General features: G+C 41.5%; 1 pseudogene, besides 2 other annotated features; it reads right to left on the bottom strand.

Moving 5' to 3' along the window:
• Window positions 14,688-14,737: a silencer, noted in NCBI's record as "silent region_9507". NCBI's record gives its function as "represses an Ori minimal core promoter by ATAC-STARR-seq in GM12878 lymphoblastoid cells {active_cell/tissue: GM12878}" and the evidence as "EXISTENCE:reporter gene assay evidence [ECO:0000049][PMID:35858748]".
• Window positions 17,012-17,061: an enhancer, noted in NCBI's record as "active region_13430". NCBI's record gives its function as "activates an Ori minimal core promoter by ATAC-STARR-seq in GM12878 lymphoblastoid cells {active_cell/tissue: GM12878}" and the evidence as "EXISTENCE:reporter gene assay evidence [ECO:0000049][PMID:35858748]".
• Window positions 19,189-19,789, bottom strand: RPL17P44 (ribosomal protein L17 pseudogene 44; annotated as a pseudogene).

The raw sequence follows: 20,012 nt of genomic DNA, 5'->3' as shown, positions 1-20,012 counted from the left end.
GAAATGTGGAGAGGGGGCTGTTACCTCCACCAGAAGAAAAGGTGATTGTCAGGGAGAAAATGGACAGTTACATAGAAAAGAGAATCAACAGTCAAAGAAGAAGTGTTGGATGAAATGATCCAAGGTGCCAGTCTTAAATTGCCAGAAGAAGTTTCAGAGGCAGTGTTTGGACACCTCAGTCAATTTTACCAGGAGCTGGACAGAACACAATGGTTTAAGTAAGTCCCTGCTTGCTGTCATTCAGCTGCTTTCCCTGATTTTTGCAGAAAACTTGAAAACCAAGTATAATAGAAACGTATAATACATTTCCCGGTGATGGTTTTCTTAGTGAAAAATGTTCAACTGTGGAGACATTTGAAAGCTGCTACAATAATCCATCCTGAAGAAACAAAGACTTGAAGTGTATTGCCATTTCCGGAATTTGTTGTGCAATGGAATCTGCAAATTTATCCTTATGTTTATGGCTTTTCTGAACTTCTTGTATGCTTTTGGCTACGGGGGAAACAAAACTTCAGAAATTAAGATGAGTCAAAAGTATCCCTCTGCCAACAGTGAGTGAAGCTAGAATAATAAACCTGGCTACATTGCATATTAAATGTGGCTCTGCAAGGAAAATCAACTTTGATTAAATCACTGACAAATTTGCAGAAGTCTCAGAACCAAAAACTATAATGTCCCATGCATTAGCAATATGTAGGTAAAAGTTCTTCCCCTTTTCTCAGAAAAAGACCAGAATTTAAAAGTATTTACTTTTTTTCCTTTTTTGGCAATGTAGTATTTATTTATCTGCCATGATTATATATGTGAAGTTTAATAAAAGAAAAACTGGGGCTGGGCGTAGTGGCTCACACCTGTAATCTCAGCACTGGAACGCCAAGGCAGGAGGATTGCTTGAGCCCAGGATTTTGATACCAGCCTGAGCAACGTAGTGAGACCCCATCTCCACCAAAAAAGGAAAAAAAACAGAGGCAGGCATGGTGGCAAAAAGTTTTTTTGAGACAGGGTCTTGCTCTGTTGCCCAGGCTGGAGTGCAGTGGCACGACCTGGCTCACTGCAACCTCCGCTTCCCAGGCTTAAGCGATTCTCCTGACTCCTGAGTAGCTGGGACTACAGGCACATGCCACCATACCCGGCTAATTTTTTTTTTTTTTTTTTTGTATTTTTAGTAGAGATGGGGTTTCGCCATGTTGGCCAGGCTGTTCTCGAACTCCTGACCTCAAATGATCCATGTGCCTCGGCCTCCCAAAGTGCTGGGATTACAAGCGTGAACCACCGTGCCTGGCCAAAAAAATTGTCTTTAATTAAAAAAAGAAAAGAAAAGAAATTTCATTGTCTGCATTTCTTTCCCTGCCATTATCATTATTTGTTTAATTTTGTGATTATCATTAAAACTAATTTTGTCATATGGTAGAGGCATTGTTAAAGACGATCTACTGCAGGTGTCAAATACACTAGGCCCACTGCTAGAGCGGGCCCAGCATTCTGGGGGGATTTGCCAGTTAAAGGTGACACTCATGTCTATCAAGAGAAGAAGAAGATATAATTTGGTATTAAAACAAGCACCAACATCGGTACCTACATTCCTACGGTTACCTTTATCACATGGCAGATATTTGCCACCTGCTTCTCTTCTTGGCTGACAAAAGGCAATTTGCTGAATCCCAATGGACACAAGTACCTTGATTCTTGTGGAAAGGTCAGCTTCTACTTTGATGCTCTCTTGTTTTCACCCAAGTCCAGCCCTAGGCAGGACTGTGGAATCTGGGCAATTTATCTTTACAGGCTTCCTATGGGCCTCTTCTCTCTGAGAAGAAGGAACTTAATTCCTGCTGCCTCCCAGGCTCTCTTCCCCTGGCTCCGTATCAAATCTTCACACTTAGCGGCTGTGTGATATGTGGAGAAAGCAAGGCTTTTGGGGGTGCAATGACCCTAGTATTGTTCATTCTGGCTCTGTCACTTACTGGCTGTATGATCTAAGGCAATTCATTCTGAGCTTCAATGTTTCCATCTGTAAAATGTGGTTTATAGGCCGGGCGTAGTGGCTTATGCCTGTAATCCTAGCATTTTGGGAGGCTGAGGCAGTCAGATCACTTGAGGTCAGGAGTTTGAGACCAGCCTGGCCAACATGGTGAAACCCTGCCTCTACTAAAAATACAAAAAAAATTAGCCAGGCATGGTGATGGGCACCTGTAATCCCAGCTACTCAGGAGGCTGAAGTGGGAGAATCACTTGAACCCGGGAGGCAGAGGTTGCAGTGAGCTGAGATTGCGCCACTGCACTCCAGCCTAGGTGACAGAGTGAGAATTTGTCTCAAAATAAAATAAAATAATAAAATAAAATGTGGATGATAGCAGGTTATGAGAGTTACATGAGTAAACACACGTACAGGACTTCCAAGTTTCTTCCCTACAAGGACCAAGACTATGCACTCTTGGAGTAGATGTTCTGATGACCAAATTTCTGGTACCAGTCGACAATGGAGTTGCAAGGTATTTTAAGGGCAACCAGTTGTCTCATTGGAAAGAGCTATCCTGCACCGTCAAAGAATTTAGCAATTGGCATAAGGCTTTGGCCTTCCCACTAGGGACCCACATTAAGCTATAATCAGAGTTTCATTTTGGTGCCTACTCTAAACGTGCCATTCTTAGATAGTTGCACTGAAGATTGTGAGACTTTGTTTCTGCCCCATGAGAAGAAGGGCTCAGATCAATTGGCAAAGCCTGCTATGAAGAGGGGATCAGGGAAAGCCGGTCAGTGGAGCTCTGGGTTTGCTCTCCCTGTTTTGACCTCTCAGCTGTCAAAGCCAAATCTGTGTCCTATAGCCTAAGGCCACCCTTTCCTTGCATGCTTGACACAGGTGTGGAATAAAATCTGGTTATTTAAGCAAACATATACCGTTGGCTAGTTTGGATCCAGATAATGTTTTCCTCGAGCCAGGGTCATAATTTGAGAGGTGGGGCGTAGGCCAAACCTTAAAAAGCTGTTTGGCAACTCTAACAACTGGCAAGGAGGAAAGAAATTGGTAAACAATGTTTTAAAAATATGTGAAATGCCAAGCATTCTGTATTTAATTCCTAACATTTATTTATGGGTATTTGCTGCCATTTTTCAGGAATTCCAATAGCAAGTACCCAGTTGTTCCAAACCTCCACCCTGGTGCTCTGGAAACAAGATTCATGCTTCCAGCAGCCTCCAGGAGAATGGGGTAAACCAGGGCAGGACTTGCCCGGGAAGCCTCATACATAAGGACTGAGAGTTGATGACCAGATCCCTGCTTCAACTGACCCCAAAGGGGAGCAGTTTCTGTCCTGGCCCAAAGCCCTGCACCCATGGCACTTCCCTGGGCTGCCCCAACGCCCACGATCTCTTACATCTTTTAATGGCCAGCTAAGGACCTGTTATTTTTAATTGCAGTTTAACCTTTCTGGAGCTTCTTTATTAGTTTGAATTCCTACCACATACTAGAATTTATTTTTATTTATTTATTATTCATTTATTTATTTATTTTGAGACAGAGTCTTGCTCTGCCACCCAGGCTGGGGTGCAGTGGTGCGATCTTGGCTACTGCAAGCTCCGCCTCCCGGGTTCACACCATTCTCCTGCCTCAGCTTCCCAAGTAGCTGGGACTACAGGTGCCCGCCACCACGCCCGGCTAATTTTTTGTATTTTTAGTGGAGACAGGGTTTCACCGTGTTAGCCAGGATGGTCTCGATCTCCTGACCTCGTGATCCGCCCACCTCGGCCTCCCAAAGTGCTGGGATTACAGGGGTGGGCCACCATGCCCGGCCTAGAATTTTTAAAAAATAGTAATCAATGGACTCATTTTAATGCAAGAGGACTCACTCTTATTTGCCCCAAACTACATTCTTTTTACTCTCTGCATCTGATAGCCTGAAATTTGGTAAAACAAACAAACAGTCCTTGATTTTCAAAATTAATCATAATTTTCATGGATTTGCAAACTTCAAGTATAAGCCTCTCAAGTCTTTACCTCTGAAAACTCTCCTACAAAATTCCTCTATCTCTGTTCATTTCAGTGCCCCTGTCCTGCTTTTCCTTGCTTTGCTATAACTTTCTAGAGGTGTAGAGAACAGAAGTGAAAACTCCTTGAGCTGTGGATACCTGTATGTCATGTGATGACATACCAAGGACACAGAAGATTAAACACCGTTGTTAGTTCTCTTCCTCTTCCACCTTTTTTGGAAGAAAGTAAGTCCAGCTTCTCTTGACCTGGAGGAACATCTAAATCAGGCCTCTTTTATTCAGAATGGAGAGACTGTTCTGTCCTCTGGGTTAGAGAAAATGGATGGACTCATATTGGAAGATTTTGACAAAATTAATTGTTTCTGCAGATTGGCATTCCTTGTGAATTTTCCTGAAAGCACTCAGGAAGCTCTAAGGGTATAGTCCTAACTCTTGGGGCTTTGCTAGGGCAACTGTAGAAGGTGTTTGCACCCTGGATTAGAAGCATCAATCTTGGGTGGATTTGGGGACACGGCAGACTACACTTCAAGCCTCAGGGCTGGAGGAAGAAGGACAAAATCACGATTAGATCGAGGTAAATCCAGGTTTGCAAATGTGATTATTCAGAAATGGTGTCTTTTCTATGGGGAAGGCATGTCCCCTAAAAGCTGGTCAGAGCTAAGCTGTGAATTTTCTGTAGCTATTCAATACTGGGCAATGGTCACTAAAGAGGATACAGACCAGAAACCTAAAAAAACCATAAGACCTGGCTCTTATAAAAGATGTCAACAATATATGCTGTGTATGACTCAACTTGGACATGAATATCATTAGAAACTTTAGTGCTTATATTTCTCCAGCTTGAGTTTTCTTTGTTCTATATCCTTCCTTTACTCTTTTTTTCTTTTTTTTGAGATGGAGTTTTGCTCTTTCGTCCAGGCTGGAGTGCAGTGGCGCAATTTCGGCTCACTGCAACCTCCGCCTTACGGTTTCAAGAGATTCTCCTGCCTCAGCCTCCTGAATGGCTGGGATTACAGGCGCCTGGCACCGTGCTCGGCTAATTTTTGTATTTTTAGTAGAGACGGGGTTTCACCATGTTGGCCAGGCTGGTCTTGAGCTCCTGACCTCGTGATCCCCCCGCCTCGGCCTCCCAAAGTGTTGTGATTACAGGCGTGAGACACCGTGCCCAGCCCCTTCCTTTGTTCTTTTAGCAACTGTCCTAGGCTTTCACAGTCCAGTAAGTAGCTACTAGCTGTATATGACTATTTAAATCTAAATTAATTTAAATAAAATACAATTAAAACCTCATTTCCTTAGTTGTACCAGCCACCTTTAAAGTGCTCAAGGTATGGTTTTCTTTGAATTTATCCTACTTGGAGTTTTTAGAGATTTTCAAACCTGTAGCTTAATGTTTTTTCATTTTTTGAAAGATTTCAGACAGTAACTCATCAAATATTTCATGTGCCCCCTTCTCTCTTTTCTGTCTCTCTGAGACTTTCATGACATGTATTAAACCTTTTCACCATGTCCCATGTGTCAAGTATGCTCTTTTCTGTGTTTTTTTAATCCTTTTAATCCTGTGCTTCAGAATTGATACTTTTCTCCTGACCTATTTTCCACTACACTAACTCTCTTCTGCCATTGCTATTGTTTTATAAACTTCTTGCATTAAACTTTTAATTTCAGTTGTTTCAGTTTTTAGTTCTGAGATTTTACTTCATGCTTTTTAAAAACATAGATTCCAGTTTTCTGATGAAAGTTCCCATTTGAAAATCTATTTTCTTGAATATATAGAAAATCTATATCAAGAAAACAGATTTTCAAATGGAAACTTTAAAGTCCATGTATGATAATTCCAATATTTGGATCACCTATAGGTCTGTTTCTTCTGTCTGCTTTTTCTCTTGGCTTTGGTTATTTGGTTTTGTGATCTGACAGACCTGATAATTTTGGATTAAAAACTGTCTACACATGGTATGTAAATTGAAGAGGTTTAGGGTGTTTTTATGATCTCCCAGAAAGTATTGAATTTTCTTCTGGCAGAAGTACAGGCAGATCACATCAATCCCATCAGGGACTGAGGAGGATGATTGACAGACTGACTGGGTAAATTGGGTTACAGGAGTCTCAAGCTGTCCTGAGAAAGCACTGTTTATCTTTTATAGCAATATAAAATTCTGACTCTGCTCCACAGGAATAGTTATCTTAGCCTGAGTTTCTATAAACTGAGCCTGAGGCAAAATTCATTTGTGAATATGGTTTTTGAGGAGTGTCTTAGTTCATTTGGTCTGCAGTAACAAAGTACCATAAACTGGGTAGCTTATAAACAGCAAAAATTTAGTTCTCACCATTCTAGAGGCTGGGAAGTCCAAGATCAAGGTGCTGGCAGATTTGGTGTCTGGTGGGGGCCCACTTTCTTGTTCATAGATGGCATCTTTGAGCTGTGTTCTCACATGATAGAAGAGGCGAACAAGCTCCCTTGGGCCTATTGTATAAGGACATTAATCCCATGACCTCAGAGTCCTCATGACCTCTGCACCTCCCAAGAGGCCTCACCTCATAACACCATCGCTTTTGGGGATAGGATTTCAACATATTAATTTTGAGGAGGACACAAACATTCATACTGTAGCAAGGTGTATAGAAAAAGCAAAGAAAACGTGAGAAAAAGAGAGTAAGTAAGAAAAAGAGTCAGTCAAGATTCAAGAGAATGTGCTACTAAGATGGGCACCACTTTGTACTAAGGGCGTTGATTGCTTAAGGTTAGCATGATGTCTTCCAAAAGGCTACATGAGTGACAGTGTCTTAGCATAGTCCATTCAGAGGGAAAGAAGAAGGGAGAAGTATTTAGCTGCTGATTTTGTTGCCAATTGGTCAAAAGTTTGCCTCATGGGTCTTAACTCCCTGATACTATGCTTTGCATATATACAGGTGCCAAGAGCATTGCATGGCATCTCAGCAGTAACAAGGAAGCCCCAGGGCTTAAAAGAAAAGGCATGGCAATAGAGCAAAACAGAGTCATTGTGTATATGTGAGGTGACAGTCTCTGCAACTGAAGCCAAACTCATAGCCTCAGATACACGGGTCTCAGATGCATGGGTAACCAAGAGAATATGAGCTGGTACCTGAGAGGTGACAAATAAAGGGTACTATTATAGGACTCTTCAACTATGTGTCTCTGCTTCTTGAGACTCTGTATATGAACTTCCATCTCAACTAACACGGATGGTCATTATAACTCCATAATTCTGGAGAGTCACTCTCTGGAATGAACTTGATAGCCACGATGTTGAAAGACCAATCAGAATGTCTTTGTCCTAAGACTCTGGGATGTATGAGGTACAAGTCAGTTAACAGTGGTCCTCAACCCTTCCTACCCACATGTCTCTCCTGGAGGCAGAATCTTGGAAGCCTCGTTGATTATAGACACTCCTCAACTTATAATGGGGTTATGTCCTTGATAGCTCCCTGGTAATTCAGTCAAAAATTTTGTAAGTCAAAAATATCATAAGTTGAAAATGCATTTAACACTCCAATAAATCTATGGTAACATCAAAAAATTGTATCGGACTATCATAATGGGGGACCGGATCGTCTGTACTTTGTCTCCACCACAGTGGTATTTTTGAATTCACTGAATCACTTTTAAGGCCTTCTCAGACGTGAGTGCTCCAGGGTCGGGGGACTTCCTGAGTGGGATCCATGGTTCCAAGAACATCAATCATTTCAACTTTTAGGGTAGATAAAGTGAAGGGCAGAGTTGTCCTCTGGGATGATTTCAGGGGCAAAGAAGATCACTGCCTTTCTAAACACTTCTGCCATCTTCTTGGTAATGAATAATTGAGGAAAAATCATGTAAATATAGAGAGAATGGTGCACCAATGTCCCCTTCCTTAAAGTTAGTGATAATCAATTTTTATTTTCCTGAGATCAAGTTTTAATAGGAAAAAAGGAAAAAAAAATGGTGGCCTGCAACTTAGATGAGAGAAGAAAGAAGGAGACACAGATAGGGAGATTGAAAACACTCGATATCAGACTCATCCATTTCACAATTCCATTTGGATGGCTCCGAAATTGCAGCCCCCCTCTGAGGCTGAAGGGCCCAGGTTATTTTGGGGAAGTTAGCACACTTGGCTTTGTTTTTTTGTGTCCTTTCCCAGAACCACTCAGTAGGCAAATCAGAGGGCAAAAGGAGCCCCCATGTTCCCTTTTCCACTGTTTCTGAGTCAATTATCAACTTTTTCTTCTAAGAGACAGGGTCTCGCTGTGTCACCCACGCTGGAGTGCAGTAACACAATCATAACTCACTGTAGACTCAAACTCCTGGGCTCAAGCGATCCTCCCACCTCAGCCTTTTGAGTAGCTGGGACCATCAGTATGTGCCACCACTCCCAGCTAATTTTTTTTTATGTTTGTAGAGATAGGATCTCAGTATGTTGCCCAGGCTGGTCTCAAACTCAGCCTTAAGCACTCCTCCTGCTTTGGCCTCCCAAAGCGTTGGGATTACAGGCATGAGCCACTACGTCTTGCCTGTAATCAGTTTTGAAGACGGTGAAAATGGTGATGAGAGCACTTGCCATAGTTGTGCCTCTGGCATAAATCTATACCAAGGTGTTTAGCAAGTGTGCTTTGGTGATTTGTGTGTAATAATTACAGCAACATCTTGGAGGAAGTCCTCCAAACTTCCTAGAATAGCAGCAAGAAGTGGAGACAGAGTTCTTTACTGAGAATCTACTATGTGCCACATCTTTTGCTAGGAAGTTTCACATTTTATTTTCAAGCCTCACCATAGCACCACAAGGAAAGAACTATATTTCTCCAATTTACAGTTGATGAAAATGAGAATCAGGAGGATGGCATGAAGCTGGTGTTTAACAGAAACTTTGCCACTTACAAAAAGTAAAGTCTTCTATAGACAATACAAACTGGAAGTCTCTTTTAAGGCATAAAGCAAGGGCAGCCTGAGAGCACCTCTCAGAGTTTTATTACCGTTGAGCCCCCTACGGTTTTGCCCCCATATTTAAACACAGTGATTTTGATGGGAAAAGTTGGTTCAGGTTTTTTCTTCTTTCTTCTGTCTTGAGTATTTCAACTGGAAATGCACTTGATCCCGTCATGGTGTCAAAATCATCCTGTCCTTCTCAGCTGGCCACTCTTTGAGGCTGTTAACTGGCACAGACTGTCCAGCCAGTGCCAGGCTGCAATGCCTTCTCTGCCTGCCTGATCACTGGCTGTGCTGAGGACCAAACTAACTTCGATTGACAGTTACCTCCTCTATTCAGCCTCAAAGCCCTGAGAGCCTCCAAATAAGCATTTTCTCACCTGTTGCCATGCACTTTTACAATTTGGTCATGTGTTTATTGCAAGCTCATTTTGTACCTTGAGGGAGGGAGGTAGAAGGAATTTGATCGTGGATGATCTTATTAATGAGGGAAGCAGTAGGAAGTTCTGTCTAATCTGAAAATTAAGTCAAACGCGAAGGGTAAGTATCATTGTCTTCTAAATCTGCCTTCTTGGGCTTCTTGCTCATTCTGGGATTTTGCTCCTGTAATTGCTGGATACTAAGAGGAAAGTGCAAGAACCTCTGGTCGGACCTTAAGTGGAGCTCCATCTAGTGGGATCATTCTTAACTACAAGCAGGATGCTGCCAAGGGAGTCCCTTTTGCGTAAGTGGCCTGGCATCTGCCTCTTATTTTAGGCGCTGAGTCAACAGGATGATGGAGCATTTCCTAAATCCGAATAAGCCGAGGTAACACACCACGGATTTAAACAGGACGCATGTGAATTGAGCTAGGATATTTCAAAGCCCAATAACTTGAGTTTCGTTTACTCTTGACTGGAGAGAAGAGAGTGGACACGGAGGTGGAGTTCCTGGCAGCTGGGAAAACAGCAGGGAAGGAGGGGAGAGAGGAAGGCACGTGTCCTGTAAGTTTCTGTAAAAAGAAAAAAAAAAAAAACCCGGCATTGGCAGATTACATGAATGTCCTCTCCCTGAAGACAGAAGCAGGCTTCAGAAACTGGCTCTCAGCCCTGGAGAGAGGAAAATCCTGGTTTTTCCCACCCAGGTGGGACCAGCATTGCAGAGATCCTAAATGTTTTCATTTTTTCCTCTTCACCTGTTACTCAGTGTGGCCCGAACACAGATGGTGTCAATCCCCTCACCCCTCTTGTGTAGAGGCAGCCTGCTATAATTTTATATGGTGAGAATTCCAGGAAATTAAACACTGCTCAGATCAACATTCAGCCCCCAAGGCACGCTGTAACTTCTCTCTGCTGGAAGAGTGGATTCTTTTCCTAGAGTGCCACAGCAAAGCACCACAAACTGGGTGGCTTGAAACAATAGAAATTTATTCTCTCATAGTTCTGGGGCACCAGAAGTCTGAAATTGAGGTGTCAGCAGGGCCATGTTCTTTGGGGAGAATTTCTTTTTTTTTTTTTTTAATGTTTTAGAGATGGAATCTTGCTCTGTCGCCTAGGCTGGAGTGCAGTGGCATGATCTCAGCTCACTGCACTGTCCGCTTCCCGGGTTCAAGTGATTCTCCTGCCTCAGCCTCCTGAGTAGCTGGGATTACAGGCACGCGCCACCACGCCTGGCTAATTTTTGTATTTTTAGTAGAGACAGGGTTTTACCATGTTGGCCAGGCTAGTCTTGAACTCCTGACCTCAGGTGATCCACCTGCCTCAGCCTACCGAAGTGCTGGGATCACGAAGGCATTAGCCACCGTGCCCGACCTAGAAATTTATTCTCTCATATTTCTGAGGGGCCAGAAGTCTGAAATCAAGGTGTCAGCAGGGCCATGTTCTTTGGGGAGAATCTGTTCCTGGACTTTCTCCTAGTTTCTGTGTTGTGGGCAGTCCTTGGCTTGTAGATGCCTCCGTCGTCACACGGTGTTCTCTGTCTTCATATCATCTTCCCTCTGTGCGTGTCTTGTCTTCACATGGCGCTCTTGTCTCTACTCTTATTATAGGACACCAGTCATATTGGGTTGGGGCCCAGCCTACTTCAGATGATCTCATCTTAATTTATATCTTGATTCCACCTGCAAAGATCCTACTTCCAAAGAAGGTCACATTCATAGGTACTAGGACAGGTACTAGGGATTCAGACTTCAACATATCTTTTGGAGGGGTGCATTCAACCCACAAGAAATAGCAGGCAAGAAAAAAAATAAACTACAAGCTCACACCAGTTACAGGGTGTGGGAGAGGAGATCACAGTAGGGAATCCCCAGTCCTGCAGTTTGCCATTTCCCTGAGTTCCTGCCTCCCATTGACCCGAATCTCCATTATATGAAGCTACGTGGACAACACCAGACGAGACCATGATATCTTATACTGAATATTATCTGAATGGGATTAGAAATATGTTTTAAAGATGTGACTTTTCCTTAGAAAGGCAATAAAGGTCCATTATTTATTTGGAACACCTTCCACTTTATATTTGTCATGAACTCACTGCCTTTTATTTGTAGTGGGCATACAGGAAATAACCATGACCTGCTTGCTACTATCTGTGCATTTCCATTGAAATGGAAGGTCAATCTGAAATATGTAGGAACTTTCCTCTGAGTTGCTTTATCCAGGACATCTCCTTGTTTACAACACATTATTTATTCAACAGGTAATAAAATAAATCCTATTGCACTAAAGCATATACTAAACACTCTGATTCCATATGCTTTTCAATGCATGTTGCCCCTGTGCTGATAACACATGCATGTATGCATCAATTAAGTTCTGACCTTAGAGAAAATACTTTGCGCCTTTTTTTCAAACAGATGTAATAATACCTATCATGTATTGCCTGCCCCCTATGTGCCAGACACTATGCTAGCTTCTATGCATTATTTTATTTCATCCTTAAAATAAACTTATGCTGTATTATTATTATTCCTATTACAGATAAAAAAGCTAAGACTTCAATAACTAAGCATCTTGTTCTAAATCACGTAGCTTTTTAGTGGTGGAGCTGGAATTTAAATCCAAGTTTATGATTCCAAAGCTCACATTAGACCACCTTCATAGAATGTTTTCCATTGGCGGATTTTCCCTGACCAATCTAGTTCTTTTTTCTCTTGCCAAGCTTTGACTCACAAGAAAAGCAGCCCAGATTTAGGTGCATAAACCAGCAATTAAGGGTCCAAACCCATTTCCATGGCCCCACATTTTGCTATTGACCACTAGGTGGAGATATGCCTATTTTCTCTCCAAGTGATCTTGAACTCTTAACCGAATATATTAGTGAACTCATCTCCTCTCTTTGGGCCCCACAAAGTCCAAATGGATATAGAAGCAGAGTCAGATTACTAATGGGTCAAAACACACAGAACTGGGTATATGGACTAATCTGTTTATTTTAGTGTTTCTCTAGGCTTTATCAAAATTTTTTAAAAATCCAGTGATTCTAGATGATGGTTGAATGAACAATCCACTTATATACAATACCACTATAGGCTTGGAAACTACATGAATGTGGTTTTTGAACCACAAAGAGCTACACCAATGTAATGATCACCATAATAAAAATTCTGTGCCTAATAAAGGTGAAGATGCGATGGGCATCTTTCAAATGGACTTAGTGGCTATTATAAGATTATCTAATCTGTACAGACTATGTTCCTGGAGTAAATGGTAGACGGCATATACTCTTTGTGTGTCTGCGTGTGTGTGTGCATGCGTGTGTGTGTGTAATTGACTTTATTGGACCTTCAGTCCTTCATTAACTTATCTAACAAGTATTTATTAAGGGCCTCCAAGGTCAGGCCATATGGTAGGTATGGTACGTACACTGGTGAACCATATGCCACAGGCCCCAGTTCATATCATGGCTTGTGCAATAATGGGTGCATTGCAAACAAAAGATAACTTTCCTGGGTAGATATATTTGTGTGTGTGTGTGTGTGTGTGTGTGTGTGTGTAGAGTCAATCCTCATCATTTGCAGATTTTGAATTTGTGAACTTGCCTACTCACTAAAATCTATTTGTAACCCCAAAATTAATACTTGTGGCACTTTTATGGTCATCTGCAACACACAGAAGTGGCCAAGAAAATTGAGTCACCCAAAATGCACGTTCCCAGCGGAGGTCACACAAGGTGAGACACTCTGCCTTCTTGTCTCAGCTCTTGTACTATAAACAAGTGTCTTTCTCCTGGCCTATGAAATACCACATTTTTCACATTTTTGTACTTTTTGTTGGTGATTTTTCTGTTTAAAATGGCCTGCACACATACTGCTGAAGTGCTGTTTAGAGTTTCTAAGTGTAAGAAGGCTGTGATATGCCTGATGGAGAAAATACATGTGTTAGCAAAGCTTCATTCAGGCAAGAGTTATGGTGCTGTTGGCTATGAGTTCAATGTTAATCAACAATATATATTAAATAAGCATTCTTTAAACAGAGAACACATAAAACAAGGTTATGTATTGACCAGTTGATGAAAGAAATGTGACCGAAAGCTCACAGGAACTTAAGCCTCTATTTCCCCTAAGAGCAGTGGTTCAGTATTGGCCAATTAAGTCTTCAGGGTGACTTTGTAGACCATAGCCACTGGGAATAGCAAGAATTGACTCGTGTGTGTGTGCGTGTGTTGTAGTGTTAATAGGATTCCAAATGATCCTGGTGAGAGCTGGCATTGGTAAATATCAGCATGGCTGCTCAGTGAGCTCTCAGATAAGTCATATGCAGGCAAGATGGGAGGAGGGACCTAGTGATTAAAGTAACTACAGTAGGTGAAGAAAGAAGGTATGGGAGCTGGAGGGGATTTCTGATTTGTAGGCCAAGTACTCTACTATTTACATTTTTCATCTAAGCCAGAAAGACATAGATAAGAAGAAGGAGAGGGGAGATAGGAAAACTCATGAATGACCCTACAAACAAACATGGAGCTACCCAGATTGGGAGAACTGACTTTCCGATTCTACGGGATGATTGAGAAAGAGCCAATCTAGAGTTAATCTGTCACAGTAGGTTTCAGGAATGACTCTTACAGATGTTAAAGCTTTCTTATCATTTTCCATTATCTTTAATCCCCTGTTTGTTTTCTTGCCCTGTCCAGCACAAAATTGCCTTGATGACTTCCAAAGTATTTCCAGCCTTATTAAGGGTTGGAGTAGAGCAAGAGAGATGGACAGCTGGGTCCCTTCCTGCAGTGCCCATGTGGGAGAGCAAAGTCTGGGGGAAAGCAGGTGGTGATGGCTCAGAAGGAGAGCAGCTAGCCAATCCTTGGAAACCCTGAAGAAAGAATCCTTCACTACCCAGAAATTATTCCAAGATAGTTCCCACAGGTAAATGGTCCTGTAGCCAGCCATCCAAAGACATTCTCAAAAGAAGGGCCTGGACCTTTAAGAACCACGGGAGGAAGTTCTAAACACTGTAGAGATCAGGGCTTGAGACAAATGCTGGGGCCAACCCAGAGGGCTTTATTGATCTATCAGAGCCAGGGAACAAGGAAGACAACTCGTAGACCTAAGGGAGACTGTAGTGTAAATATCTGCCAAGAAGAATGCAGAACTACTCAGAACTGCTCAATAACGCTTTTGTTTCTGTATCACGGAAAATGATCTTTCTACCAGGAAGCGTATAATAAAAATAAGCTTAGAGAGCTATGAAACCCAGAGAGGGAGGAGCCTACAGCTTTAACATCCTGAGTGCGTGAGATAGAGCAGACAGAACTTCGAGCTCAGATGAGTCATATTGCAGGGGGCTGGGAGCTGTTGCGGGGTGATGGCTGAACAATTAGGGCAATGAGAGAGACACGACAAACACCCAAAGGGTCTGATGTAAAGATTTTTTTTTTTTTTAAAGAGGGAAATGTGGAGTCTAAGAATTATGAACAAGTTAGTGTTACTTCCTGGTTAAAGATTAGTACCTATCATTCAGCAGTCAGTTTTTCAGCCTTAGTCATGAGTAGAATTTAGAATAGGTGATGCCAAACTAACCACATTTTTTCTTTTTCTGGATTACTACTAGATTAGCAGATCGGGGGAATTCATGGAGTTCATGTGTGTGGATGTTGGCAAAGGCTCTGTCATGGTGCCATATAAATGAGATGGAGAAATGTGAATTGGATAATATCACACCACAACCATGGGCTGGATGGTCAACTGACCAAGAACATGGGCCAGCCAACAGCAGAGGCCCCTCCCAATTCCAAAGTGCAGGAAAATTGATTGGTTGCCACTTTTGAGCAAGAAGCTGATGACTCACTAAATTTCTACTATTGTGCTTGTTAGAGGAATACAATGATGCGTTCCTTCCGTGAGTTAGCCTGTTCAACCCAGCAGTTCCACTAAACATCCACTCAAATGCTTCTACATGAATGTTCACAGCAGCATTATTCCTAACAGTCAAAAAGTAGAAACACCCCAATTGTTCACCAACAGATGAATGGATAACAAAAATGTGGCATAGCCATGCTTCACATGTGTGCATTTCACTGTATATTAGTGTCACCTAATAACAGAATAGGGTATTAGTCTGTTTTCACATTTCTATAAAGAACTACCTAAGACTGGGTAATTTATGAAGAAAAGAGGTTTAATCGACTCACAGTTCCACAGGCTTAATAGGAAGCAAGACCAGGAAGCCTTAGGAAATTTACATTCATGATGGAAGGCAAAGGGGAAGTAAGCGCATCTTACTGTGGTGGAGCAGGAGAGAGAGAGAGCAAAGGTGGAAGTGTCGCACACTTTTATTTATTTATTTATTATTTATATATATTTTTTAATTATACTTTAAGTTCTAGGGTACATATGCACAACATGCAGGTTTGTTACATAGGTATACATGCGCCATGTTGGTTTTCTGCACCCATTAACTCGTCATTTACGTTAGGTATTTCTCCTAATGCTATCCCTCCCCCCTCCCCCAACCCCATGACAGGCCCGGGTGTATGATGTTCCCCGCCCTATATCCAAGTGTTCTCATTGTTCAATTCCCACCTGTGAGTGAGAACATGCGGTGTTTGGTTTTCTGTCCTTGTGATAGTTTGTTTAGAATGATGGTTTCCAGCTGCATCCATGTCCCTGCAAAGGACATGAACTCATCCTTTTTTTACGACTGCATAGTATTCCATGGTGTATATGTGCCACATTTTCTTAATCCAGTCTATCATTGATGGACATTTGGGTTGTTTCCAAGTCTTTGCTATTGTGAATAGTGCCGCAATATGTCACACACTTTTAAACCATCAGATCTTGTGACAACTCACTCACTGTCATGAGAACAACATGGGGGAAATCTGCCCCCATGATCCAGTCACCTCCCACCAGGCCCGTCCTCCAATTCAACATGAGATTTGTGTGGGGACAAAAATCCAAACCATATCAAACAGTAAGCAACAGAAAACATAGTATATCCACAATGGACTATGATTTGGAAAGAAAAAGGAATTAAATACTGATACATAGTACAGCATTGACAAACCTCAAAAACATTATGAAAGAGGACAGTCACCACGACTGCATACTGTATGATTTCATTTTCATTTCATTGTATGAAATATCCCAGATAGGTAAATCTAGGGAGAATGCAAAGATTAGTGGTCACTCAGGGCTGGGGGTGGGGGGTGCAGGTTGGAAGAAATAGTGAGTGACTGTGAGTGGATGCACAGTTTCTTTTTGGGGGTGATGAATTGTTCTAAAAATTGAATGTGGTGATGGTTGCACAACTCTGAATGTACACACAAAAAACCCATTGAATTGTGCACTTTAAAGAGATGAATTATATGGTATGTGAATTTTATTATTTGTATTTCTTTACACATACCAGTCATCTTCTGTTTGGGCGTTAGTTCTCAATTAGGATATAAAAGGATTCAGCAGTGATGGAGTTTCTCACAAAGGGGTGATGGGCCAAGGAGGTCATGGTCAGAAGGGCAGAGTGCACCCTTCACTGGCCCCTCTTAGGTGATGCTTGCAGAGTTGCTCACAGTTGAGCTCTTTGTAAGAAAGAACATAGAGGAAAAGCTGTAAGCTGCCAGCTATAGAAACCCCTGCAATGCTCCCTTCCTTCCTGTGAGGCACTTGTTCTAATGCGGGTAGTAACTTCTTTGAAATGCTCCAATCATGCCTTTCAGGGTGAAACCCCACATCAATAGCCAGCTTGGCAGCTCCCCAAGTTAGGCATCCATGACTTTCCTCTCTTTCACTGGTGCAACTGACACCATCTTGGAGTCCTGGTTGTCCACCATTGGTCATGTGAATTACTGTTGGTAACAGCTCAATAATGCTGTCATTTATAAAGAAGAGTGAACTTTTCTGGTAGAGATACATGTCAACAATGACAACACACCCTGGTTGGTCCTATGTCATAGGCTGTTTTAATTTACATGTTTACTTTTCAGCTCCTCTACCGAGGAACCACAAAGTAGTAATCTTTGCATCCCCAGGGCCCATGAAAGTTCATCCCTAAATGTTGAACGCTCCATAGATTGGTAGCCTGCTAGCTGGCAACTTGGGAAAATTAATTGCAAGAGAATTGAATCCTCAGTGAGTGCTTCTTTGTAAACATGGGATATTGAAATTTCTGTAAAGCAAGCCCTCACATAAAAAACTCACTTTACAGTGTGAAAATGCCAAAGTTGATTTAAAAATAAAATAGAAGTTAGGACAAATATATGCTTTTGCAAGCATTTATTCAGTGTTTAAATTCAAACAGCTCATATAAATGATATGTTCTAAACATTTCTTGGGGGGTACTTGGTCATGGGTAGGGTGAAATGAAGTTTTTTAAAATAAAAGTTCCATAAAGTTTTGACTGAAGGTATCATGTTTTTCCCCAGTTAATCTTTCAGGGTTAAGCATTGCTTTTCTTTATTGTGCCAAGAACCTCCAACTTCTAAGTTAGGTTTAATCTTCTCAAAAAGTATGCTCTGAGTATTTGATGGGTATGAATGTCTCCAAAGGTATTCAATGGAATATGCTGGTAAAAAGAGCTCTTTGAGGCTTCTCATTCTATGAATTTCAACGATTCCATTTTCATAAACTCCCCATGCTTGAGCTGCTCTGAATGAAAACTTGACAACTCAAGCCTATCTGCAAGAAAAACTTCTTTATTCAACACATAATGTAACCAGGGAAGATTTTTCTTTTTTGACAATTCCAATGGTGTTACTGTCCAAAAGGAGTCTTGTTCTCTTAGAATGAAGTTCTCAAAATATAGATTACAGAAAAAAAAAAAAGGAAATTGAAACCTCACTGAGATACTACTTCTCATTTCTCAGAGGGCCAAAAAAATCATAAAGAAGGACACCATACTCATTTCTGCTGGCAATATTAAGTGGTATAATCTTTATAGAAGAGAGTTTGACAATAGCTAGCAACATTATATGCATTTGCCTTTTGACTCATCAATCCCACTTCTAGGAATCTATTCCAAAGATGCTCTCAAAATAAGAAATTCATATACACAAGGCTTTTCATGATGACACTGCTAGTAAGAGCAAAAAACTGGGAATAGCCCAAATGTCCATCAACAGAGTAATGGTTGAATAAAGTACCTTCACATGTTGGAGTACTATGTAGCTGAAAAAAAGAACAAAGTTTTCTATGTATTGGTGTCAAGTGAGAATAATTTTTAAGTGCAATCCAGATGCAGAAAATGTGTATAATGGGTTACCTCTTCTCTGTGAAGGAAAAAACAACAAATATTTACTATATTTATTTGCTTACATAAAAAAATAATTGAAGGACAAATCAAAACTAAAAAATATTACTGTGGGAGAGGGAGGCAACAGAGGAGGGTACAGGTATGACAGCTAGACTTTCTGTTTATTTGATGGTATCTAGGAATTATTACTAATATTTTTAGATGTGATGATACTGTAGTATGTTTAAAAATTGCCTTATCTTTAGTGATATAAACTAAAGGCTTTTTAAAAGATAAAATTATGTGATATCTGGGACTTTTTAAAACTTTTAATTGCATTTATTCATTTATTGTCTTGAGACAGAGTCTCACTCTGTCACTCCGGCTGGAGTGCAGTGGCGCGATCTCGGCTCGTTGCAACCTCTGTCTCCCAGGTTCAAGCGATTCTCCTGCCTCAGCCTCCTGAGTAGCTGGGATTACAGGCACGCACCACCACGCCCAGCTAATTTTTTAATTTTTAATAGAGAAGGGGTTTCACCATGTTGGCCAGGCTGGTCTCAAACTCCTGACCTCAAGTGATCCACCCACCTCGGCCTCCCAAAGTGCTGGGATTACGGGCGTGAACCACTGTGCCTGGCCTTAACTGCATTTATTTTAATGCTGAATTTACTCCTGTGCCATAAGTTTTTGTTTCTTCAGTTTCTTCTGGGACATCTTTTTCTTCTGGGCAACCTCTTCTTTTGGTTTAGGAATAATTTGTTCCTTTTCAGTAAGGATCATCTCGATGTGGCAGGGAATGCTCACGTATGGCTTAATCTAACCATGAGCTCTGTAGGTCTGGTAACACATCTTAGATGCTTTGTCCACTTGGATATGCTCAATGACCAGAGAGTCTACATCTCAACCCTTAAGTTCAGCATTGCTCTCTGCATTTTTAAACATGTGCAGCAAAAATTCAGCACTCTTCTTGGGTCACCAACCTTGTGTCCAGCCCCACTGCTTGGCCTGGGCACACCTACCAACTCCACCACTGTAACGTTGGAATGGTACACACTGTTTCTGTAAAGTGACATCTTTCAGATACTTCATGGCTTTTTGTATATGCATAGCCTTGATGGCCTGGGCAGTTTCACGAGTGTTCTTAAAGTGAACAGGAAAATTTGAACCTCTTGATTTGTATGATTGTGTGGGCTTCTACAGATCAAGTGAATAGCAAACCATTTTCACAGATTACCTCAGGTTGTACCACTTAGTATTGCCAGCAGAAACACTTAGGGGAAGAGCTGAGACTTTCTTTAAAATAATTCGCTGGGGATGGAAGGGAAAGTAGGTTGAAGTAAAGAAACAAGAATGGCCAGGTGTTGATAATTGTTGAACTTGGTTGATAGCTACATAGGTGTTCACTTTATTTTTACTTCTTTTTCATGTTTGAAGATTCCCTAAGTAAATTAACATGTGTCATG

The sequence above is a fragment of the Homo sapiens genome, chromosome 18 (genome assembly GCF_000001405.40).
Source record: "Homo sapiens chromosome 18, GRCh38.p14 Primary Assembly".
Lineage (NCBI taxonomy): Eukaryota > Metazoa > Chordata > Mammalia > Primates > Hominidae > Homo > Homo sapiens.
The sequence above is the reverse complement of the archived record's forward strand: the minus strand, read 5'-3'. Positions and strand labels throughout refer to the sequence as shown.